General features: G+C 36.0%; 1 protein-coding gene across 8 annotated transcripts in view; it reads left to right on the top strand.

Moving 5' to 3' along the window:
- ABCA8 (ATP binding cassette subfamily A member 8) overlaps positions 1 to 26,143 on the top strand; it is an 88,104-nt gene that overhangs the window by 2,687 nt on the left and 59,274 nt on the right. For 6 of the 8 annotated variants that reach the window (NM_001375772.1, NM_007168.4, NM_001288986.2 and 3 more), the window contains exons 2-9: positions 10,667 to 10,767; positions 11,744 to 11,948; positions 15,591 to 15,755; positions 19,435 to 19,538; positions 20,192 to 20,418; positions 23,004 to 23,145; positions 23,472 to 23,657; positions 24,643 to 24,790. Coding sequence is in view for 7 of the 8 variants with exons in the window: in NM_007168.4 (NP_009099.1) it covers positions 10,672 to 10,767; positions 11,744 to 11,948; positions 15,591 to 15,755; positions 19,435 to 19,538; positions 20,192 to 20,418; positions 23,004 to 23,145; positions 23,472 to 23,657; positions 24,643 to 24,790 (1,273 nt within the window). In the remaining variant the exon portion in view is untranslated. Of the gene's footprint in view, positions 1 to 3,233; positions 3,395 to 10,666; positions 10,768 to 11,743; positions 11,949 to 15,590; positions 15,756 to 19,434; positions 19,539 to 20,191; positions 20,419 to 23,003; positions 23,146 to 23,471; positions 23,658 to 24,642; positions 24,791 to 26,143 lie in introns of all 8 variants that reach the window. The other 2 variants (NM_001288985.2, NM_001375771.1) reach the window with 2 other exon arrangements.

Raw genomic sequence — 26,143 nt, 5'->3', positions numbered from 1 at the left:
CAGTGAGCTAGCCTACAGAGAGGACAAAAGTTTCTGGGTTCTTAAAGCAGCTGCCGCCAATGCAAGCCCTGTACAGGAGGAATTTCTACACTCCACCTCCTGCACAAGCCCAAGTATATCAAAGCCTCGCTACAGAAATGCATAATTCATTGGCAAAGTTAATAGACATTTGATGGTAAAAAATGAATCTACTTTGTATGTTCTTTAAATTGAAAATTGAATCACATTTCTACACAACAACAGGCGGATCACAAGGTCAGGAGATCGAGACCATCCGAGCTAACAAGGTGAAACCCCATCTCTACTAAAAACACAAAAAATTAGCTGGGCGTGGTGGCGGGCGCTTGTAATCCCAGCTACTCGGGAGGCTGAGGCAGGAGAATGGCATGAACCCAGGAGGCGGAGCTTGCAGTGAGCCGAGATCGCACCACTGCACTCCAGCCTGGGCGACAGAGCGAGACTCCATCTCAAAAATAAATAAATAAATAAATAACCAGGATAATTAGATTGGAATTCAGCAGAGTGTTAAAATAACTAGAAGGCATTTGTTTGTAAAAAGAGAACAGAGATAATAAATACTTTTGAGTTTTCATAAAATAAGTTATAGTTTCTTAGAAAAGTATTTAAGAGTAACCATAAAAGACATATAACCACCTTTTACATCTTTGGGACAGGAGAAGAAGTGAAGAAGGAGAGGAAAACATTTTCAATTCAATAGAAGGTAAAGATGTAGACAAAACTAGAAGCAAAAGAAAAGTAGGTTTAACGTGAGAATAAGATAGAATGAGAGATCATCCAAAACAAAAATTCATACATGGTTTAATGCATCTCTTAAAATATAGTTATCTATCAGTTTAGATTTCTAAACATAATGCATTGATAGTTTTTTATATAGTAACCAAATATTTAAAAATGCAGCAAAAGGTTAACAACAAAGAGATAGAAACAGATACATTAGGCAAATATTAACCTACAGAAACCTAGTGTCTCCATATTATCAGAAATAGAAGCAACCTATTACTGAAACATAAAAAAGCAATGTTTTATGCACCTAGCTACCTATGCTTTAAATGCACTTGCTGAAAACTAACAGAGATATAATAAGAAATTGCCAAACCTATTATTAGAGTGGAAATTTTTAATTGAACTCTATTATGAAATGATTGATCTAGGAAATATAACATTAGAAAGGATGCTGAAGATTTGAAGAACACAATGAAAAAGATTGAATAGATACGTACAAAACACTTCACCTAAATGGTGAGTTACAGGTATGTTAGGTGCACGTGGAACACTTTCAAATATTAAAATATGCTGCACCAGCGAGGAAGTCTTAAGGAATTTTAAAGAAGCAGTATCTTACTGAGAAGTCATTTCTTTGGTCACAATATAATTGTTAGAAATCAAAAATAAAAAGTCACTAAAAACAAAGAAACTTCAATATAGTGAATGCTAAAGAGGTAATCCTAAGTAACATATGTATGGTCTATTGCCACATTTATGTTACATAGCAAAAAGGAAATAAACCCAAATAACAACACACAGCAATAAGCATTTGTAGTGTGGTGTCTGCAGTGGTTCCTAAGAAACTGCTGATCTTGGATAGGCTTGATGGTATCTCTGGGAGGGGACTGGCTAGCACTCTCAACTGGATGACTGAGAGGACTCAGCTTGGTTTCATTCCGCAGTAGGCTAGGCCAGGTCTGCTCTCACAGCAATGGAAGAAACAAAAAAACAAGCAGATACACTCAAGGTCTCGGGAGGCTGAGGTTCAGAACTGGTGCGACATCACACCTCCCTTCTTCTCTTGGCCCAAGTACTAGCCTGCCTTGATGACAAAAACTCCAAAATTACCAGACAAAGGGTGGACACAGACAGATGGATAATTGGGTCACTGATGCAATCAATCACTCAACTCCAGAATCCATTTTCTCAGCCACTCTGCTAACATTAGTTCGTTATTTCAGCCAAGAAGCCAAAGGAAAAAGTAGCAAAACCAACCCCCAAAAAGAGTAGAAATAAAACCGTGAAAAGTAAGAGGATAAATTAATAAATTAGAAAACATAGTAAGCAATGAAAATGATGAAACAGTAAACTGCTGTTTTGTTTAAAAGGCCATTAATACATTCAAAATTCTAGCAAGACTAATGAATAAAAATAAAAAGAAGCTTAAAAATAGAAGAAAACATACATCCATTTATAATAGGTTTTCAAAAGTATTTTTAGTTATAGATATTTTAAATTCATGCTAATAAATCTAAATATAGTTTGAAGCCAGGTAGCAGGATGCCTCCAGCTTTGTTCTTTTTGCTTAGGATTGTTTTGGCTACGCGGGCTCTTTTTTGGTTCCACATAAAATTTAAAGTAGTTTTTTTCTATTCTGCAAAGAAAGTCAATGGTAGCTTGATGGGAATAGCATTGAATTTATAAATTACTTCGGGCAGTATGGCCATTTTCATGATATTGATTCTTCCTATCTATGAGCACGAAATGTTTTTCCATTTGTTTGTGTCCTTTCTTATTTCCTTGAGCAGTGGACGGCTTTTTGCTTGTCTATTGTTGGTGTATAGGAATGCTTGTGATTTTTGCACATTGATTTTGTATCCTGAGACTTTGCTGAAGTTGCCTACCAGCTTAAGGAGTTTTGGGGCTGAGACTATGGGGTTTTCTAAATATAGAATCGTGTCATCAGCAAACAGTGACAATTTGACTTCCTCTCTTCCTATTTGAATACCTTTATTTCTTTCTCTTGCCTGATTGCACTGGCCAGAACTTCCAATACTATGTTGAATAGGAGTGGTGAGAGAGGGCATCCTTGCCTTGTGCCAGTTTTCAAAGGGAATGCTTCCAGCTTTTACCCATTCAGTATGATATTGGCTATGGCTCTGCAGTAAAGAGCTCTTGTTATTTTGAGATATGTTCCATCAATGCCTAGTTTATTGAGAGGTTTTAACATGAAGGGATGTTGAATTTTATGAAAGGCCATTTCTGCATCTATTGAGATAATCATGTGGTTTTTGTCATTGGTTCTGTTTATGTGATGGATTACATTTATTGATTTGCATATATTGAAATAGCCTTGCATCCCAGGGATGAAGCGACTTGATCATGGTGGATAAGCTTTTTGATGTGCTGCTGGATTTGGTTTGCCAGTATTTTATTGACGATTTTCACATCGATATTAATCAGGGATATTGGCCTGAAATTTTCCTTTTTTGTTGTGTCTCTGCCAGGTTTTGGTAGCAGGATGATGTTGGCCTCATAATGTGAGTTAGAGAGGAGTCCCTCTTTTTCGACTGTTTGGAATTGTTTCAGAAGGAATGCTACCAGCTCCTCTTGTACCACTGGTAGAATTCAGCTGTGAATCTGTCTGGTCCTGGGCTTTTTTTGATTGGTAAGCTATTAATTACTCCTTCAATCTCAGAACTTGTTATCAGCCTATTCAGGGATTTGACTTTTTCCTGGTTTAGTCTTAGGAGGGTGTATGTGTCATGGAATTTATCCATTTCTTCTAGATTTTCTAGTTTACCATGCTAACTGACTTCAAACAACACTAGGAGGCTACAGTAACCAAAACACCATGATACTGGTGCCAAAACAGATATATAGACCAATGAAACAGGACAGAGACCTCAGAAATTACACCACGCATCTACAACCATCTGATCTTTGACAAACCTGACAAAAACAAACAATGTGGAAAGGATTCCCTGTTAAATAAATGGTGCTGGGAAAGCTGGTTAGTCATATGCAGAAAACTGAAACTGGACCCCTTCCTTACACCTTATACAAAAATTAACTCAAAATGTTTTAAAGACTTAAATGTAAAACCCAAAACCATAAAAACCCTAGAAAAAAACCTAGGCAGTACCATTCAGGACATAGGCATGGGCAAAGACTTCATGACTAAAATACCAAAAGCAATTGCAACAAAAGCCAAAATTGACAAATGGGATCTCATTAAACTAAAGAGCGTCTGCACAGCAAAATAAACTATCATCAGCGTGAACAGGCAACCTACAGAATGGGAGAAAATTTTTGCAATCTACCCATCTGACAAAGGGCTAATGTCTAGAATCTACAAGGAAATTAAACAAATTTACAAGAAAAAAACAATCCCATCAAAAAGTGGACACAAAATATGAACAGACACTTCTCAAAAGAAGACATTTATGTGGCCAACAAACAAATAAAAAAAACTCATCACCACTGATCACTAGAGAAATGCAAATCAAAACCACAATGAGATATCATTTCATGCCAGTCAGAATGGCGATTATTAAAAAGTCAGGAAACAATAGATGCTGACAAGACTGTAAAGAAATAGGAACACTTTTATACTGTTAGTGGGAGTGTAAATTAGTTCAACCATTGTGGAAGACAGTGTGGCGATTCCTCAGGATCTAGGATCAGAAATACAATTTGACCCAGCAATCCCATTACTGGGTATATACCCAAAGGAATATAAATCATTCTACTATAAAGACACTTGCACACATAATGTTTATTGCAGCACTATTTACAATAGCAAAGACTTGGAACCAACCCAAATGCCCAACAATGTTAGACTGGCTAAAGAAAGTGTGGCACATATACACCATGGAATACTATGCAGCCATGAAAAAGAATGAGATCATGTCCTTTGCAGGGACATGGATGAAGCTGGAAGCCATCATTCTCAGCAAACTAACACAGGAAAAGAAAACCAAACACCACATGTTCTTACTCGTAAGTGGGAGTTGAACAATGAGAACACATGGACACATCAAGGGGAACAATGCACACCAGGGCCTGTTGAGGGGTAGAGGGCAAGGGGATGAAGGGCATTAGAACAAATACCTAATGCGTGCGGGGCTTAAAACCTAGATGACGGGTTGATAGGTGCAGCAAACCACCATGGTTACATGTATACCTATGTAACAAAACTGCACATTCTGCACATGATCCCAGAACATGAAGTAAAATAAAAATAAATAAATAAATAAATAATCTAAATATAATGAATACTTTTCAGTGAAAATTATCAAAATTGGATCAAGTTGAAACAGACAACTTGAATAGACCAGTCATATTTAATTAATTGAACCTTCGTTAACAGCAATGATAATTTAGCCCATCCTTATCCCAGAAACAACAGGCTCATAAGGTTTTATCAGCAAGTTTACTAGCCTTCTAAGATCAGATCTTCCATGTGTTACAAACTGCCCTGGAGAACAGAAAAAGAGAAAATGCTAGCCATAATAAAGCTAACATAACACTGAGGCTAAAAGCAGACAAGCACATTGTATAAACAATTAAATTATAGTACACTGTAACTTATGATTATACACAATCCCAAGTAAAATATTGGCAAATTCAATTAAGTAGTATTTAAAAATACCTTATGACAAATTATAGTATTTGCTGGAAAACATGAGAGAAAACATCAATCTAATTTACATGTTAGTAGATTATATTAGATATAATCATAATCACAAAAGAACATAAGAAAATATCTAATGTCCATGTAGAAGAAAACTCAATACCATAAACATTTTAATTATATCTGAATGAATCAATAAATTTAATGCAATAGTAATCAGACCTTTATTTATCATGAAACTTGTCAAAATGTTTCCAATATGCATTTAGAAGAGTATAAGTAGCTAATATAAATTGAACTGTAGAATAAATCTAACAAAAATTATTTAATGGCTCAACTACAATACAATTTATTTTCTTTCTTTCTCTCTCTCTGTCTCTCTCTCTCTCTCTCTCTCTTTCTTTTGATGGAGTCTCACTCTGTCGCCCAGGCTGGAGTGCAGTGGCGCCATCTTGGCTCACTGCAACCTCTGCCTCCTGGGTTCAAGCGATTCCCCTGCCTCAGCCTCGTGAGTGGCGGGGATTGAAGGTGCATGCCACCATGCCCAGCTAATTTTTTTGTATTTTTAGTAGGGACAGGGTTTCACCATGTTGCGCAGGCTGGTATCAAACTCCTGAGCTCAGGTTATCCGCCTGCCTCAGCCTCCCAAACTGCTGGGATTACAGGCATGAGCCACCATGCCCGGCCAATACAATATAATTTCTTGCTCATTAAACTAATATATCAGTTTATCTTCCCATGATAATCTAGGAAACTGAATTCCATCCGTCTTTTGGCCGGCTGTCTTCTAAGGCATCTACCTATCAGAAGGGAAAAGAGGATATAGAGAGACTCACCTACTTCCTAATATCATGACTTAGAAATGGCACATTATTTCTTCTGCATATATTCCATTGACTAGGAAGCAATCTTATGTCATTGTGAATGGAGTATAGCTCTGTGCTCAGAAAGAAAAAGTAATAAATTTTGGTAAAAAGCGGCTGGGTGCGGGGGCTCACGCCTGTAATCCCAGCACTTTGGGAGGCCAACGTGGGCAGATCATGAGGTCAGGAGTTCGAGACCAGCCTGGCCAATATGGTGAGACCCCATCTCTACTAAAAATACAAAAATTAGCTGGGCATGGTGGTGGGCGCCTGTAGTCCCTGCTACTTGGGAGACTGAGGCAGGAGAATCGCTTGAACCTGGGAGGCGGAGATTGCAGTGAGCCAAGATGGCGCCCCTGCACTCTAGCCTGGGCCACACAGTGAGACTCCATCTCAAAAATTAATTAATTAATTAATTAATTAATTAATTTTGGTAAAAAGCTAGCAGTTTCTGTCACAAATAGTAAGCTCCCAGAAGAGCCAAGACAATTTTGAAAAAAATAAATAAGATGAAGAACCTGTTCTAGAATTTATGAAGGCTTATTATGAAGTTCTAGTAACTGCTAGTAACTAGACTATGTGTGAGAAGTATACAAAGAGATTAATTGAAAACTAGAATACTTCAAAGTGCATACACGCATAATATATATACATATGCGCACACACACACATATACACACAAACATAAATACAAACACACACATATCTGCTATTCGAGAGAGAAGGAATAACAAATGAATACGGAAAGAAGGAACCAGAAAGTAGTTCATGTTGGAACAATATGCTTGAGAAATGCAGAAAGAAAAAAACTCATCACCAACGACTTAGGTCACTCTCTTAGGTCTTACACAAAAATAAACTCAGATGTATGAAAGAGTACATCTTTCATGTACTCTTGACAAATACTTGAGATTATTAGAAGAATATGAAGGAATGTGCATTTATGACTTCTGAAAAGGAAAGTGCTTTCTAAACAGGACACACACACCAAATACACAATCACCAAGGAAAAGGTTGTTTGACCACAACAAAACTTAAACTTGAATACAATAGAAGAAAATTAGAGATTGACAAAATTAATAACTAGCAGCAAACAAATATCTAAAATACATAATGAACTCCTGCAAATAGGTATGACAAAAAAAAATCAACTGAGTACAAAAAGCTATTTCCAGAAGTCTAAGTGGCCATTCAACATATAAGACGACGCTCAAATTCTATGAAAAACAAGACAACAGACAACACAAATTCTAATACTGAGATACCCTACACACTCCATGTTTGTAAATAATTTGGCTCTGAGAAGCTGCAAATTGTTTTCTCTGTGTTCCTGTTCCACCCTCAACTTTCAAAGGCCTTGTGCACCCAAGCAGTAAAGGAGACCCCCTCCATTATCTTACCCTTCCCCCATCCATAGACTGCCATAGCTTTTTGCTCAGTGCAGTGCTTGAGATATGGGCAGGAGGAACTCTAGATTTCCTGCTCCAGCCTCAGTATTAGGTACTATAGATCTGGCCCTTGAGATGGGGCTTCCTCAACATGTTTTTCTCCCTACATACCAGCCAATTCCTACCTTGTATCTGTTGAGAGGTTCTGGACCTGTGAGAGCGTCCTCTCCCCCGCCGTGGTGAGAGCCTGTCTCTGCTTTGTATCCGTGCTGGGTCCTTGTTGCAAATCTCAGCTGCAAATTATCTTTGCTTGGGAATGGGAACTGGAAGCTTCCTGCCCCACCTGCAGTGGTAGCAGGCTGTTGCTTTTTACCAGGTGCAAGGCTTTTATCATAGAGCGACGTGGTTTCCTTCCTCTCCCTCCACAAAGTGGTTTTTTGCTTCTACCCATAACTTAGCAGCAGAAATTCACTTGGAACAGGAGTAAAGGTTGGGGGAAGGGGTGGTTGGTGGTTTACAGATTGCCCCTCATTAGCTGCTGATTTTTGCTTTAACTCCTCCCCAAGATGCAATAACAGCTTGTTTTGTGGGGCTGACAGGGATTCCTGTCCTTCTACCAAGGTTTCTAGATTTGCCCTTTGGAAAAAATGTTCTGAGACATGGGTAGATTTTGTGGCCTGTGAGCTACTGGGGGTCTTTCAGGTCTCTTGTTTGCATATGTATGTATATGTGTATATATATATATATATATATATATATATATATATATATATATAACTTTAAGTTCTGGGCTACATGTGCTGAACATGCAGGTTTGTTACATAGATATACATGTGTCATGGTGGTTTGCTGCACCCATCAACCCATCATCTAGGTTTTAAGCCCCACATGCATTAGGTATTTGTCCTAATGCTCTCCCTTCCCTTTCCTCTCACCCCCCAACAGGACCCAGTGTGTGATGTTCCCCTCCCTGTGACCATGTGTTCTCCTTGTTCAACTCCCACTTATGAGCGAGAACATGAGGTGTTTGGTTTTCTGTTCCTGTGTTATTTTGCTGAGGATGATGGCTTCCAGCTTCATCCATGTCCCTGCAAAGGACACGATCTCATTCTTTTTCATGGCTGCATAGTATTCCATGGTGTATATATGCCACATTTTTCTTTATGCAGTCTATCATTGATGGGGATTTGGGTTGGTTCCAACTCTTTGCTATTGTAATTTTTTTTAATGAATACTAGGTGAAGCCTGTAAAAAAAGAGTTGACAAATGTGCTGGGGTCCTGGTAATTGTAAACAAACACGCAAGCTGTGGGTCCACACTCAGCCATTAAAAATTTAACATTTCAGCTGCTTTCTCCCTACCTGCTTTTATAGTAGCCATGTCTTTCTCTAATACTCTACCAATTCTGAAACTGTTCATGGGTCCCTTTTATCCCTGGAGAAGGCTTTTACCCTTTGGACTTTAGTTTACCTAGTTACCTGTGAACTCAGCTCTTTGATAGACCCAAGAAAAGTTATAATTTTATAGATTATCTGACTTTGTTTCATTATTAGGAAAGTAGCAACATTCTCTTGAGAATTTATGCATTGTAAGTGAAAGAAAAATCCAGGAAATCTTATAGAGAATGGCAATATGGTTATAGATGAGAATGTGGAAAAGATGAATTTTGAAATACTTCCTATCATAGTACAAATTGCTACAATGATTTTAGAAAAAAGTATATCTATACACATACACGGAGATCATATATATGGAAATACGTGTGTGTATTTTTCCTGATGACTCTGCATAATAAACATAAATAAATTCTTAAAGATGGAAACAATAAATAAATGTCACTTTAAAATGACATTCGATTAAAGTGACATTTTAAAAAGACAATGTAAAGCTTTTTCCAGGCCAAACTATGGTGATTATCCTATATTAAGATTTTAATTCTTCAAAGAAAGATAGTAAAAAGTTCAATTTCTTTCACTAGGGAAAGAAAATTTTCTTTCATCCCACAACAAATTAGTAAAGAGAGCAATTATTTCTGCCAGAAATAACAAAGATCCCATTAAATTGTCTTAGATAGATCAATTCCTAAAACAGATTATTTATTCAGGTTCTTAAGCTAAATATTATAGAGTCATTAAATTGGGTGTTCAAGGATGTATTTATTGAAATTAAGAGTGGTGTATGTGTAGGTGTTGGTCTGGGTGCAATCTGGGGACAGAAACTACATAGTAATTAAATGAAGTAAGTTTAATATACAGAACTATTGAATAGTGACAGGAGAATAACTATAAAGATGGACTGAGAGCTCAAGAGGGCTTCCTAGGGCTGAGGGAGAATATCCAAAGAAGAATAAACATGAGGAGATAAGGTATTGACAATTGGATAAGAAGTGGTTGAAACCCACCGAATGGCAAAGAAGTCTGAATGGCAAGCTGTGGACACCAGTACTAGAGTGCACTCCTTTTGCAACAGGACGGCCAAAGGAAACAGAGCTTCGAGGAAAGGGATGTAGCTATCTGGGGCTCCCAGATATACTACTGCTACCCAAGTCAAGAGCTAGAGGAAACACACAGTGAATCCTGCACACTCTAGGTACTTTGCATTGGAGAAAACAATTTACTCAGTGGGGAAAAATACATTCTATAGCAACTCAGCAAATGAACTATTCTGATACCTGGATGGCATCAGATGCCTGCAGTGTCTCTACTGTCCTCTCTGCTGAAACAGCATAACATCATGCCAGCTGGCAAAGGAAAGTACTTAAAGGATTCAGATCCATTTTTATAGAGCAGGCTATGCAGAGTGAATTTAGGGCTGAGAGACAGTAAATTGATAACAGGCACAGGGCATCACAAATAAATGATGGAACAGAGTCTGCAAGTGGGGACGGAAGGAGAGCATGGGAGTAATACAATGCTGACTTGGGAACACTCAGACTCTTTGCACTCATTTGGAACATTGGAGTATTAGGCTACGTTTTTTTGTTGTTTGCAGGATATTTCTTTTTCTTAAGAACTTCATATTAATTTTATCTTCTTTCTTTTTCATTAAACAAGACAAGATGAGGAAGAGAAAGATCAGTGTGTGTCAACAAACTTGGGCCTTATTATGCAAGAACTTTCTTAAAAAATGGAGAATGAAAAGAGAGTCCTTAATGGTATGACTCAATATCCGTGTTATTCTCTATTTATGATAGGAAAATACGTGTTGCCTGGGAGTTATCTATGCCATGTGTATCTCCCCCGACACATACACCAAAAACACTAAAATACAGCAACGTTTATACAACAGAAAACGCTATTCTTCAGGCCATGAATCTGTTTGAAGATATTTCAGTTGACATGGGCTCATAAATTGAGGTCTGAAACCACTGAATCTGGTAGCAATTGAGAAATCAATACATGTTTTAAAAGCCAATGGTCACATTTGTTACTAGTGTCCCCAGTCATGGAGACTAGGGTTAAGATACTGACATTCCAAAGATATGGTAAACAAACCAACCCACCACAATGGGTAACTGGCATTTTCTCTTTGAGATCTTTTTCTCTTCTTGAAACAATTAGTTTTCTTCAAAAAAGTAGAAAAGTTGGAATTGTATTAAATTCCAAGAAGAAAATTAGCATTAGCTCTTATAATCTTACCATATAAAAAATCTTGATTAAACTTTGGTATATTTTAAAAATCAGATCGATATAGCTAGGTAGCATTTTTAACTAAATTGGAATTCCACTATACATACATCGTAAAGTTTTTTCCCCTAAGATCATGCATTTTGGAAATAAAGTGATTTCTTATTGGGAGTTCGCATGTGATCAGGATTTATAACTAACGAAGATACTATCCCTCCGATACTATCTTATTATTAGAATTATCAGAATGCCCTTACAAACTGGTATACTGTTGAGTTTGAAATTCCAGAATCTTGGCATGTAACCAGTATATCATTACTAAGCTAGCAATGCCTTGGAACTATCTCTTAAAACACATTGACTTTCAGCAGACTTTAAACAGTTTATAATATGGGATATATTGAAGTTAGAAAAGTAAAAAAGAGGCAAACTTTATGACAAAATGATTGTGGATGACTAATTTTAAATAAGACTTTTCTTTATCTTTTTTCCTGTATTATATAGGAATGGCTGAATTCATTGCTCCTACTACTTTGTTTGTATATATATCCTCATAGTCATCAAGTAAATGATTTTTCTTCACTGCTTACCATGGACCTGGGACGGGTAGATACATTTAATGAATCCAGATTTTCTGTTGTATACACACCTGTCACCAACACGACCCAACAGATAATGAATAAAGTAGCCTCTACTCCCTTCCTGGCAGGTAAGTTTTCTAGTTACTTAAGAAGAATGTCTGGTGTGAATATTTGGTTTATTTGACCGCAGATTTATACATTTAATTTGTATTTCAGTTTGATAATTAAACTTTCTGGAGTACATGAATTGGGAATGTGTCTTCCCTTTATTGGAAGTAACATCTCACCACTCAGTATCTAAGTTAAAACTACATGTATTGCTTGCCAAACAAGGGTTTACCATTTGGGGTGCGCAGTCTCTCAAAAAGAAACTTGTTGATCTGGTATAGGATTTGAGGAAGCATGAAATTATACAGACTGGTGCACATTTAGAGCAGTAGTGTTTAGGGATATGTTGACATGTGACTCTGAAAGCATTGTCACCAAAATGAAATCGTTGCTGTAGTGTTTTCTTGTTCTTATAGACAAAGAAAAACCAGTCTCTTCTTTTCCTAAATTTGATTATAGGAATTTTAACCCTACCTTTTAACACCAAAAACATGTGCTTGCTCTATTTGAATATTCCTTTGAGTATTCTGTATTTCAGATTTTCATCCTTCAGCATTAAGGTACTTAACGAGTTAAGGTTAAGTAGTTGTTAAGTTGAGTTAAGGTTAAGGTTAACTTAACGAGTACCTTAAAGCTGAAGGGTAAAGATCATTTTTATAACAATCATTTTTACAACAATGCTCTGAAATTAGAGGAGATGCAGCCTGGTACAAAGGCAAGAGAACTAGACTTAGAGTCAGAGGACATTTGATTAAAAGTAGTTCTAAGAGTCCACTCAGAACTGCTGTGATACATATGTGTCTGGAGTGCATTTTGAAAGCCATCAGCTTCTCTTAGCCTTATTATTAGCAAACGCAAAATAAGATTAACAATTTATGCAACAATAAACTCTTACAGTTTGAAGAAATAAGACCTTGTGTTCGATAGATCAGTAGGGTGACTAGTTAACAATGATCTATAAAAAATAATACTATATTTTTCATAAATATTTCAGTTGAGCGTAAGAGGCCCAACTCAATCTGTCTTAAGAAAAAGAATCTTTTGTCTAGCTTAAAAGAGCAGAGTATTAATGCAAGGCAGATTAGAGGTTTATCACCAACAGAAGTAAATCTCTGCCCCTCCGATATACAGCTTTGTGTGCTGGCTTCATTCACAGGTTGGTTCTCCCAGAGGCAGAGTTGGTCTGCAGACTCTCCAGATTTAAGCCCTCCCAGATTAGCAACTCCAGTGAAAAGATTACAGATCATTTCTGATAGTTCACAATAACTTCAAGGATTTTATCCACAGGAACAAATAGGTGACTTTGGGTTAGTGTTGATCTTGGTTCACCGAGAACTAATCTCTTTGGATAGGGGATATGCGGTATTTTCATTGCCCACTTGTTGAGTTCCCAGGTCATGAACCACATTGAAACCACAGGATATGTGAGCAGAGGAAGGGAAGTATCCCAAATGGATCATAGTGTGTTTTTATTAGAAGAACTGGATGTCAACAGATAAAAACAACATATGTCCTTTACAACTATAAATGCATACTTCAAAGGGAAATCTGTGGTGATCGCCCTGTCATTCATTCATAGGCTGGGTCGAGGGCTAAGGTAAAGATTAAAATTAGTGCTATAGTGAGTATAAGTTTTAAGTTGTTCATTTGAGATGCTCATGGTAATGGTAACAGGAGGATGGTTTCTAGATCAGCTAGTAAAAATGTAATGGCTACTAAGAATTTTGTAGAGAATGGCAAATGGTGTGTCCTGTTGGATCGGACCCACATTCATATGGGCATGATTTTTCTGTATAAATATTTAGTTGTTATAACCAGAATAACTACAAAAATAATGCTAGCAATGTATTTGTCAATAAAGTTAATAAGAAGTTAGTTATTCTGTTTTGGATTATACCAAACCTAACTGATTGAAAGCCAACTACGCTAATACTAAAAGAAGATTCTCATTAACAAATGGAGGTAGAAGTACAGGAACAGTCAGACTATATCTACAGGATGTCAGTATCAGGCAGCAGCTTCAAATCAGAATTGATGGTTGGATGTAAAGTGAGATTTAATTTGATGAGTTGAATAATTTTTTATGAGTTGAGTTATAATTTTAAAGTGACTTCGAGTTTGTACAACTGTGTGAGTATTCTAAAAACCATGAAATTATTAAAAGGGTGAATATTATGGTATGTGAATTACATCCCAATTTTTAAAGGAATATAAAAATTTGACTTAGAAGGTACTGACTATTCATTTTAAGCAACATAACTCCCACCAAGGGCGTTCTTCTAAGGAGAACCTATGCATCTTGCTCCACCAAGTCACTGGAAGCCTGCATAACCTCTTTTTTTCCTTTCTTTGTCAACTTCCGTCCAAATTCCACTCAAGCTTAAGTAATTATTAATCTTATGCCTGGATTCTGACCCCTTCACTGGATTCTGTATCCAGTAATCCAGTTCATGCACTTGCTATTTGGACTGTCTATGGCCAGAGTTTCCAGAGTATGTTGGACTTTTCCTTCCTGTGAGTTATCCAAAATATGCTTTCCAACGGCGCCTCACCAAGCATCACACCATTAGTTCCACATACATTTTAATGCCTATATTGTGCATCTTACCTACCAACACTGAATCCACTTCTGATTCAAGATTATAATGTGATATGAACTATCCACCTAAGGTCCAGTCTCCTAAACGGCCCTGAGACGTGTCTGCTCTTGCTGTTTCACAGACGTCCATAACAAGACCCAATGTCAGGAACTTGTGCTTCTCGACATTACCTCATTCAAAACCACATGCAATTATAATAATAAATATTCATTAAATGCTACAATATGGTATATTTCTACAAAAACTGTATTCTGTAAAAAGAGAATATTTTGTAATGATATTATTCTATATTCTGTACTCTATTAATATTCTATAATAATAATAATAATGGTTATTAAGTTTATTTTACAAATATAGAAATTGAGTAACAAAGGGTAAGGAATTTGCTCATGATGACATAAGTTTGAGAATAAAATTAATTCTATCAAAATACATACTTCTTGCTCCCTCTACATTCATCTTCAACACTTCCACCCCAATCCAGAACTTTTCTTGTATTTTGTCTCATTTTTCAGTATTAATAAAACATCCATGTGGCCTCAGACAAAATACCTACAGAAAAGAGGGATTCTTTCAGTGATGTCAACATAGTTTCTTAACATGTTTTTAAATTTATCACCTTTTTTAGCTTATTAACCATACCATCAGGATTATTAAAGAAAAATAAATTTGTATAGGTATGTCCACCTGATACAAAACAGTGCCTAATTGCAATTTAAATATCTATCTCTCTATATTTACCATTTCAAATTTATAGGAATGATAACTATTTTTGAACAGTTTAATTGGTATAGTAGGACATTGTATGTGATTGAAATTGGCTCAGTAATCACAACATATGAAAATAAAATAACTAATTTTCATGTATTTCTTCTGATTGCATCTAGATGGAACTTTAGAAATTTCTCTCCCACCCAACATTTTAGTCTAACTTTCTAAAAGTTAATACTTGATAATGTTTTATTTCCATAGAAAACTCTAGTAAAAGCAATTCAACATGACATCCTGAAGTTGTGTCTCCTAGTAATTTACTAACAATAATATTCCTTCTTGTAACAAAAGGTAAAGAGGTCTTGGGACTGCCAGATGAGGAAAGTATTAAAGAATTCACAGCAAATTATCCTGAAGAAATAGTAAGAGTCACCTTTACTAATACATACTCATATCATTTGAAGTTCTTGCTAGGACATGGAATGCCAGCAAAGAAGGAGCACAAGGACCATACAGGTAATTTTATGGCTCTAAAATTTCACTACTCTCTATTTCAATTATGTCATAAGTCATGTGTGGGAATAGAGGTTAGTATGCCAAATTAGAGCATCACTATCTGTCATAATGATGTATGCATGTCCCTCAACATTTAAAAAAAAATTCATTTTTGGGCATAAGAACATATCGATAAGTGGTCATTATATATAGTTATCTACATACATTTACATAGATATATATTTATATATGTAAATGAAATATGTATTCATATGTACACACATAGATATTATATGGAATATATGATTGTTAAAAGAAAACAAGGTAGTTTATGGATAAGATAGAACAAATTTCCCTTCAAATAAGCTCAGTTGTTCAAATTATACTACAAGGCTATAGTAACTAAAACAGCATGATACTGGTATAAAAATAGACATGTACATAAATAGAACAGAATAGAGAAACCAGAATGAAGCCACATACCTACAATCAAATGATATTTGACAAAGTCAACAAAAATATACACTGGGGGAAAAATCCTTTTCAATAAATTGTACTGGGAAAATTGAATAGCCTTATGCAGAACAATAGAACTGGACCCATATCTCTCACCATATACAAAAATTAACTCAAGATGGATTAAAACCTAAACATAGGACCTGAACCTATAAAAATTCAGGAAGAAAAAACTAGGAATAACCTCTTCTGGACATTGGGCTAGGAAAAGAATTTGTGACTTAGTTCTCAAAAGCAAATACAACAAAAACAAAAATAGAAAAACGAGACTTAATTAAACTAAAAAAAACTTCTGCAAAGCAAAAGAAACAATCAACAGAGTAAACAGATGACCTACAGATGGAAAAAAAAATCGCAAACTATGCATTCAACAAAGAACTCAAAGAACTCAACAAGCAAAACAAATAACCCATTTGCCTATTTTTCAGTGCAGTTATTTGAGTTGTTTGAATTCTTCTTTTTTCACAAGAAGACATACAAGCAACCAACCAACGTAAAAAAATGCTCCACATCACTAATTATCAGAAAATGCAAATTAAAACCAGGAGATAACCATTTTACCCTAGTCGGAATGGCTATTAGTAAAAAGTCTAAAAAAATCAGATGTTTGCAAAGATGCGAAGAAAAGATAACACTTATACATCGTTGGTAGAAGTGTAAATTAGTACAACCTTTATGGACAACAGTATGGAGATTTCTCAAAGAAATAAAAACAAACTACCATTTGATCCAGCAACTTCACTACTGGGTATCTACCCAGAGGAAAAAAAATCATTATATTTAAAAAGATACCTGCACTCATATGTTTATTGCAGCACTATTCACAAAAGCAAAGATAGAGAATTAACATAAGTGTCCATCAACAGAGGGCTGGATAAAGAAGATAATATATATATATATATATATATATATATAGGAATACTACTCAGCCATAAATTAAAATATTGATAAATTTGACTAGACATAAATTTTAAGAACGTCCCTTTATCAAAAGAACCATAGAGATAGTGAAAAATAAAGGCAAAAATTGTGATAAAGTGGCCGGGCGTGGTGGCTCATGTCTGTAATCCTAGCACTTTGGGAGGCCAAGCCGGGCAGATTGCCTGAGCTCAAGAGTTCGAGATCAGCCTGGGCAACATGGTGAAACCCCGTCTCTACTGAAACACACACACACACACACACACACACACACAATTAGCCAGGCGTGGCAGCGTCTGCCTGTAGTCCCAGCTACTCAGGAGGCTGAGGCAGGAGAATTGCTTGAACTTGGGAGGCAGAGCTTGCAGTGAGCCGAGATTGCACCACTGTACTCCACTGAATGCCAGCCTGAGTGACAGAGTGAGACTCCATCTCTAAAAAAAAAAAAAAAAAGGTGATAAAGTGTTTATAACAGAAAAATCTAACAAAAAATTAATTCCAGAATATGTAAATATTTACTTTGAATAAATAGGAAAAAGATCAAAAATAGAAAAATAACAAAAGGACATTAATAGGAATTTCATAAAACAACACAGATCAAGAATAAGCACTAGGAGAGGTGTTTTTCCTCATTAGCAACCAGGAAACTGCGTGTTGAAACCACATGTTATATCACTTCATGTTCATAAGATTTGCAAAAATTAGCAAATAGAACAATTCGAAGTATTGACAAGGATATGTAGCAAAGAGAACACCTATCCAACTTTACAAAATTTGTAAATTCCACAAAAATTGAGAAATTTTATCTTAAAGTTGAAGTGCACATAACTTATAACTCATCATCATAGAAATCTTATTAGTGAAACTCTCATACCTGTGTTAAAGATTTGCAGCCTATTCTCCTCTTCTTCCAGAGGACATAGAATAATTACTTTTTGTAGTCATAATAAGATAGCTAGACCCAAGGCATTTAAATGCAGGTATAAGTTCTTCATCTTTTCTCACCTGCTTCTGCAAACTAAGGAGTTGTGTATAATACAGACAGTACAACTCAACCCTCCTACCAAACACCTCTGCTGAATTTGTAGCCTGAGTGAGAAATACACGTTCACTGTGATAAATCACTGAGATTTAGGGGTTATTACTGTAACATATAAGAGACTATCCTGACCAATACAGATATATTTACAAGAAGACATATATACAGATTTTTATAGCAGCAGATTTTTTTTTCTGGTAATCACAAAAAGAAAAAAGGAACTAACCAAATTGTTATCAACAGGAGAATGGATAAATATATTGATTTACATTCCTGCAATGGGATTCCATAACCATAAAAAAGAAGAAAAAATTAAATGAGGCAATTTATTTACATTTCAAAATCATAATATGGAACAAATGAACATAGTTCATAGTAATTATTAGTAGAGTTTAATTTTTTAAATTACATATATAGTTTAGAGATATGTAGTGGCATATATATATACATAACGTTCAGGAAAGCAGTTAGCTAGTTAGAAACTTGGTGCTGGGGAAGTGCACAAGAGATTCTAATTGTATTTGAAATGATGCATTTATTTTGCAAATTTGTAGTGAGTCCATGCGTGTTTATTGTATTTTTATATCATTCGTATATCTGAAATATTTCAAGATGATTTCATGTAATATGCATTTAATTCCTATACTCAATTTTAATTCATCTTATTCAAGGATATCTCTTTAATATAGTTTACTATTAAATGGACTGACAGCTCTTTTTGAATAAATCCTTTTCTTCAAAAGATATTCTGATTGGCATGATTTAAGCGTAGTAAGTAATCTTACTTGAACTTCCATTGGCCTATTATGCCCGTGTTATATCCAGTGTTAGAAAAAGCTTTAGTTTAGTGTCTCTCAATCCATGTTAGGCTCTGTGAACTTTTGAAAAACATTAAAATATGTAGTTTTCACAATACAAATCAGAAAAGAGAAGAGACCAACAAAATTCTTCATCAGCAGAAAAGCACAGGACACGGTATGAGAAAGCTTAGAGTGTTATAATTTAATGTAAAACATTTCCTAAGAGTGCTCCACCTCATGATTCTGCCTGATTCATTTTGAGAATCATTGTTATAATTTATGTTTTCATAAGCTTTGAGTCAAAATAAGAACATTTGGAATTTGGGGTCATTGTAAAGTCCACTGTTTGCTATAATCAGTATTAAAATCATATTTCAATAATATAGATAGTGATGTAATGATAGTTATGATTTGTTTTTTCACAAAGCTCATTGTTATGAAACAAATGAAGATGTTTACTGTGAAGTTTCAGTATTTTGGAAGGAAGGTTTTGTGGCTCTTCAAGCTGCCATTAATGCTGCTATTATAGAAGTGAGTACAAAATGTTCAAAGCAAACTAATGTTTAATGCAAGTTAATGATATTAGAGGCATCAAAAGTTTCATGGAAGAAAATATAAGTGGATAGCCTTGTTATTTCCTTTGCTCACTCTGAAGTTTACTGAAGTTACTATATACCACGGAATGTAGATACAAACAGAAGAAAAAGTATCTCATTCATGGACTCAACTTTGTTGGGAAGCCAGGAATATAAGAAAATTATTAGAACAGAAGTAGACTATTACAGAACTATAAATCAGGTCCTCATAAGTAAATGAGTAAAAACCTCTCAGCCTTAGAATGCCATGGAAGAATGCCTAATTGAAATAACATTCCAGCTTGAAGCTTGAGATGAGGGGTGGCTTACTGAATATATAAATTGAGAAAAGCCATGCCAAGCAAATCATAAAGTAATGTTAGGCAGGGAGGTAATGAAACACACAGTAAATTCTGAGAGTGGTGAGTAACTCAAAATGCCTGGACTCCGAGGTCCCAGCAGGTCAATGACAGGACATAGAAGTGGAAATTTAGGTTAGTATCAAATCCCAATAGGCCAATCATACATCCACAAGAAAATAGATGGTTAAAAGAAAACTGCATGCTGTTCATTAACGTACAAATTTTGCTTATTAATGCCTTTCTTCAGATCACAACAAATCACTCAGTGATGGAGGAGCTGATGTCAGTTACTGGAAAAAATATGAAGATGCATTCCTTCATTGGTCAATCAGGAGTTATAACTGATTTGTACCTTTTTTCCTGCATTATTTCATTTTCCTCATTCATTTACTATGCATCTGTTAATGTCACAAGAGAGAGGAAAAGGATGAAGGCCTTGATGACAATGATGGGTCTTCGGGATTCAGCGTTCTGGTGAGTCAAACGCAGCACAAATAAATAAACGGAGGAACTCAGGAAAACTGGGAATCTTCAATGCATCTTTTTTTTTTTGAAATGGAGTCTCGCTCTGTCGCCCAGGCTGGAGTGCAGTGGCGTGATCTCAGCTCACTGCAAGCTCCGCCTCACAGGTTCACGCCATTCTCCTGCCTCGGCCTCCCAAGTAGCTGGGACTGCAGGTGCCGACCACCATGCCTGGATAATTTTTTGTATTTTCTGTAGAGACGGGGTTTCACCGTGTTAGCCAGGATGGTCTCGATCTCCTGACCTCGTGATCCACCCACCTCGGCCTCCCAAAGTGCTGGGATTACAGGCGCGAGCCACCACGCCCGGCCTCTTCAATGCGTCTTTATTAAAACCTGTTTCTCCACAACCAAGGGGTACAAATGAGAGATACCTACACAGAATAATTTCAGATCATGAACAAATTTCCACTTAGTTAATTTCAGTGGGGAGAAATGCTCTGCAGTGATGGACAAAAAAAAAAAAAAAAAAAAAAAAAGGAAATGTATTTTGCTTCTGGAAATTTTACAGGACTAAGTAGAGAGGCTGGTCATTTAATATATTTAACAATCTCTGACCCAATTTTATCTAAATCTATTTCAGATTCACTGTACTGTGAAGGAACTGCTATAGGAAATAAGATAAAAGGGGACAGAATGTGCTAACATTTAAGAAAATACAACTTCCATTACGAATAATATTGACTTTTTTAGAAAGGAGGAAGATAATCTTTTAAAGAAACATAAAAAGTAAATAAAAAAACTTTGAGAAAACAAATAAGGAGCCAAATGCAGAATTTTACAGAAAAAATAATGTCACAACTATCACACATCAATGTCCATTTAAAAAAATGTGTTGCCATGAATAAGAAAATGCCACTTTTAAACATTCTTTAGTAACAAGGAAAGAAATATAAAAATCCTTTATCCCCATGAATGGTATAAACTGTCATTGGTGTAATGTTTGCCAGGCTGAGGCTGCGTCTTACTGTGCTTCTCTGAGTTAAGGAAGAAGATTGGGGTTAGGTTATTGGTTGATTGTGAAGAAGGTGTAATGAGGAATGGCCATGGCAAGAGAGGCGTAAACAAGATAGACAATGGTGTCTGTGCCAGACAGAGGTGAGATGTGAGCTAGGAGGGGATTGAAAGGGAAAAAGAAGCCGAGGACCAGGAACTCCTTTGAGACTGAGGAACATGCTTGGTGTGCCTGAGGGAATGAGCTGGCAAAACAGGATGGTGAATAGGGGCTGGGTAGTGTGGGTTTAAAATGTCAGAGGTTGGGTGATTCCAAGAATGGACAAGGTTCTGTGTGAGAACTTATGAATAATTGACTGAAAGAGCATGGAGGTGATGTTTACAGGGAGTAGGACATTAAATAACAGAGAGGCTAGGGAGGCAGATGGGCTGTGCATAGGGCAACAAATTAGGAGTCTGGAAGAGTTCCTTCCAGTATTAACATCTTATACATCAATATTGACCTCTTGTTTGAATTAATACTGGAGGGAAACGTAGCAGAGCAGTGAAATCTAAAGACTATAGAGCCAAAACCCCTGAACTTGAAACATAGTTACATAACACCCTTGTTCATTAGGTTCTCTATCAATAAGATGAGGAAAATAATGGTATTCTGAATAGGGCTATTGGGAGAATAAAATGCTTTAATGTTTGCTAAGTTTTCTTCAATGCATATTAATTGCTATGTGTGTGAGTTATTATTGTGTTGGCTTTGCAGCTGTTTTGTTTTTGTTTTTTAAAATTATTATTTCATTATAGTTTTCAAAGAATATTGTAAAACAAAAGAAAAGAAATTGATGAGGAAAGGAAAGTGAATTATTCTGACATAAAAGAATGGGATTCAAAAAAAATCTTTCTTAACAAAAACAATGAACGGAACTAAAGGCAAGTATGTAGACTTTTCAGTGAACACATCCAGAGAAAGATGACAACAGCTTTTGGGGAAGGAGTGACATGACCAAATTACACATAAGGAAGAATTTCTTGTCTCTGAGGAAGCTTGTGATGGTCCTGAACTTGGAGAGACTCCAGAGAGGAGAGAAGGGTCTGAGGTTCACTGAGGGGCTACCCTGTATTAAGACAGTGCCCTACATAGCCATCATCTTATTTAGTCTTCAGTGGTAGTATTATTCCTGGTGTCCAGAGAAATAAAGGAATAATAGAGGGGTTACAGAGGTTGCCCAAGGTTACAGAGCAAGAATGCAGCAAATAAAATGTTCGATCCAAAATCTATTACACTGGAAACCTAATTCCCCCCCCACCGCCCCCACCCCCCAGAACAATGTGCATGTGTGTGTGAATGTATTTCTGAAATCAATTTTAGGAAAAACAATTCCTAATTCCCAAAGAATATTCCTAATTCTAAAGAATTCTGCCCAAAACTTTTACCTTGTATTTATATATCTTAGAACACCCAATAAATAAATGTTGAAAGAGAGAATGAATGGATGAATAAGTGAATGAAGAGTTATCTTAGAATCCATTTCAGGTCTTCCTTTTCAAGTGAACATAAAATACTAAAATAACATTTTGTTTCCACATTAGGCTCTCCTGGGGTTTGCTCTATGCTGGTTTCATCTTCATTATGGCCCTTTTCTTGGCACTTGTTATAAGATCTACCCAGTTTATCATTTTGTCTGGCTTCATGGTAGTCTTCAGCCTCTTTCTCCTGTATGGATTATCTTTGGTGAGTTAGTGAATTAAATATCTTTCCATCCACCTATAGCCTAAAAATTGTTTGTTTCCGACTGATTACTCTGTATGCCTCCTTTTTTTTCTACCTACTCTGTTTGCATGTGAAAAATCTATAAACAGGTACAATTTGATTTGAGGTGTTTTGTAATGTCAATTTTTAGTGCAATTTGCAGAGCATAGTTTTGTATGTTATATACAAAATAACTATAATATACAACTGTTACATACACAAAATAACTATAATTTTGTATATCTATTTTATTATGCTAGTAATAATGTTAGAGAAACATAAACCAACTAGATCTTCTCTCATTTTAGGTAGCTTTGGCTTTCTTAATGAGCATCTTGGTAAAGAAATCTTTCCTCACCGGCCTGGTCGTGTTCCTCCTCACTGTCTTTTGGGGGTGTCTGGGGTTCACATCACTGTACAGACACCTTCCTGCATCCTTGGAGTGGATTTTAAGCTTGCTTAGTCCCTTTGCCTTCATGCTTGGAATGGCCCAGGTGAGATGCCATCTGAATGTCTATTAATGGCATTTCTGAAACATCTGTCCCTCTGGAATCCATAGGCTGTAATCATTTACAAACTCAGCATTGTAAGGCTTAAAATTCTAGCGAAGGCTGTTGTAAAGTTGCAAAGACAGAACTTTTAAAAGCTTGGAAATTATTTAGCCCAGCAAAATAAGACATTTGGAAAGTGAAAAAAAGAGGATCAACATACAATTATTTAAAGGCAATATAAAGTATTTTCTTAGGCTATTAATTAAATATGGACATGTGGCAAATCTAATTATAAATAACTATTCCAGTTCATGTTTTTACCTAGTAATTGAAGAGAATACGTGATTAAAAACCATTAAATCAAATTAAATTAAAAATTTAAAACATCTGGAAAATTCATTAGTAAATTATGTTTCTATTCATAAAATGTCTTTTCTGTTTATGTGATTCTTATTGAATTCCCCTTGCCTTCCCTCTAACTAAATGGAAATGTCAACCATTAAATATCCATTATTTAGTGTTTAACAAAAGGATTGTTAATTATAAAGAGCTCATTAACTTGAACATCATAGACAAGCCCACTTCTGGTTCTACTTAAACACAGCAGTGCCTTTTGCCCAGAAATTCTCCCTCATGCCGCCAATTTACATGGATCACCACACCTTTTGACTGTGTCCTATTTGGTAAAAGTTCATCTAAGTTCGATCTCAAATGTCATCTCTTCCCATACTTCCCTACTTCCTCCTAATGTTTCAATTTCATTTGGAACATATTTTTATCATAGCAATTACTAAATTGCATTCTAGTTGCTCATATGTCCATGCCTTCCAAGGCATAGATTTGAGAACCATAAAGGAGGCAGTCTCCCTATATAACTCTATTCTCAGTATGAGGCAATAAGTAGTCATTTCATTACTATGCTAAACCTAACTGTTTAAAATGTATCTTATACCTAATTTCCCTTAATTAATTACTTTTTAATTTTCAGCTTTTACACTTGGACTATGATTTGAATTCTAATGCATTTCCTCATCCATCGGACGGCTCAAATCTCATTGTAGCAACAAATTTCATGTTGGCATTTGACACTTGCCTCTATCTGGCATTGGCGATTTACTTTGAAAAAATTTTGCCAAGTGAGTAATGATATGATTAAAATCATATATCATTTAAATAGTTTTATTTCTGAAAACAAATCTCCTAATGGATATACTATTTATATTTTAAGAACTATTTTGTGTATCAACAGCAAAGAGAGGAACAAAGTCGTCGCTACTGGCCAAATTATTTCTTCATTTCTTTCTCACTACTTGACTTGTCAGAACTAAAGCCTGAATTTTGTTTATAGAATCACTAACCTTCATTTGAACTTCACTTTAAGTATATGGTATTTTTTTTTTTAGACCTCTTAGAAAGCTAGTTCCTAAACAGTTCTGGTAATCATGGTCATTTATAGCTGCTTATGTCTAACTGTTTAGCTCGATGGTTCTGAGCTCCGGCTGGACAACAGAATCATGTGAAGAATTTTAAAGCAAGTCTAAGCCCAGCTCAACCTGAAGAGATTCTGATTTAATTAATCAATGCATCTACGTTTAAAAAAAAATCTCCCCAGAAGTTCACAATAGGAAAGCCAATATATCATAAATTTTCATTTGTATCACCTTGCAACATACAAGAATATGAGTTACACAAAAGCAGGGATTCGTTTTGTTCACAGATGAGATTTAAGCACCCACTGCAGTGTCTCATGCACCCTAGATACTTGTGTGCTTCACTTTCTTTTTTTTTCTTTTTGAGACAGACTCTCACTCTGTCATCCAGGCTGGAGTGCAGTGGCACAATCTCGGCTCACTGAAACCTCTGCCTCTCCAGCTCAGGCAATTCTCCTGCCTCAGCCTCCCAAGTAGCTGGGATTACAGATGTGTGCCACACGCCTGGCTAATTTTTCTGTTTTTAGTAGAGACGATGGGGTTTCACCATGTTGATCAGGCTGGTCTCGAACTCCTGATCTCAGGTAATCCACCCGCCTCGGCCTCCCAAAGTGCTGGGATTACAGGCATGAGCCACAGTGCCCGGCTTGCTTCACTTTTTTCTCCCTCCTTTTATAACCAAAGGCAGGCCCTGATTCTCCCTTCTGCGTTTCCTATTCAAGACAGAATGCCAAGGGCCCTTTATTCAAAAAGCAATGAATACACACTTTTGGAAAGGGAAGAAGGGGAAAGGGTGAGCAGGAAGACAGCCACATCTTGAGGCAGGAAATTCATCCTGTTTTGTTTTTGTTTTTGTTGTTTTTAAGACAATCCTTTAAGAATTACTGTCTCTTCCTTTTAAAAGAACCCAGAACAAAAGATGTCAGGATCCACTATTGTTGGCTAGCACACTTATTACACAATTAGAATTGTTTGAATATGGTATGTTTTCATTTGATTTTTTCCAGTAGAGGTAAAAATTACATAACTGATTAGAAAAATTACTTTTTTGCCTACTAA

Source organism: Homo sapiens, chromosome 17, assembly GCF_000001405.40.
Source record: "Homo sapiens chromosome 17, GRCh38.p14 Primary Assembly".
In the NCBI taxonomy this organism is placed as follows: Eukaryota; Metazoa; Chordata; class Mammalia; order Primates; family Hominidae; genus Homo; species Homo sapiens.
Note: the sequence above shows the minus strand (reverse complement) of the source record. Positions and strands in the feature narration are given on the sequence as shown.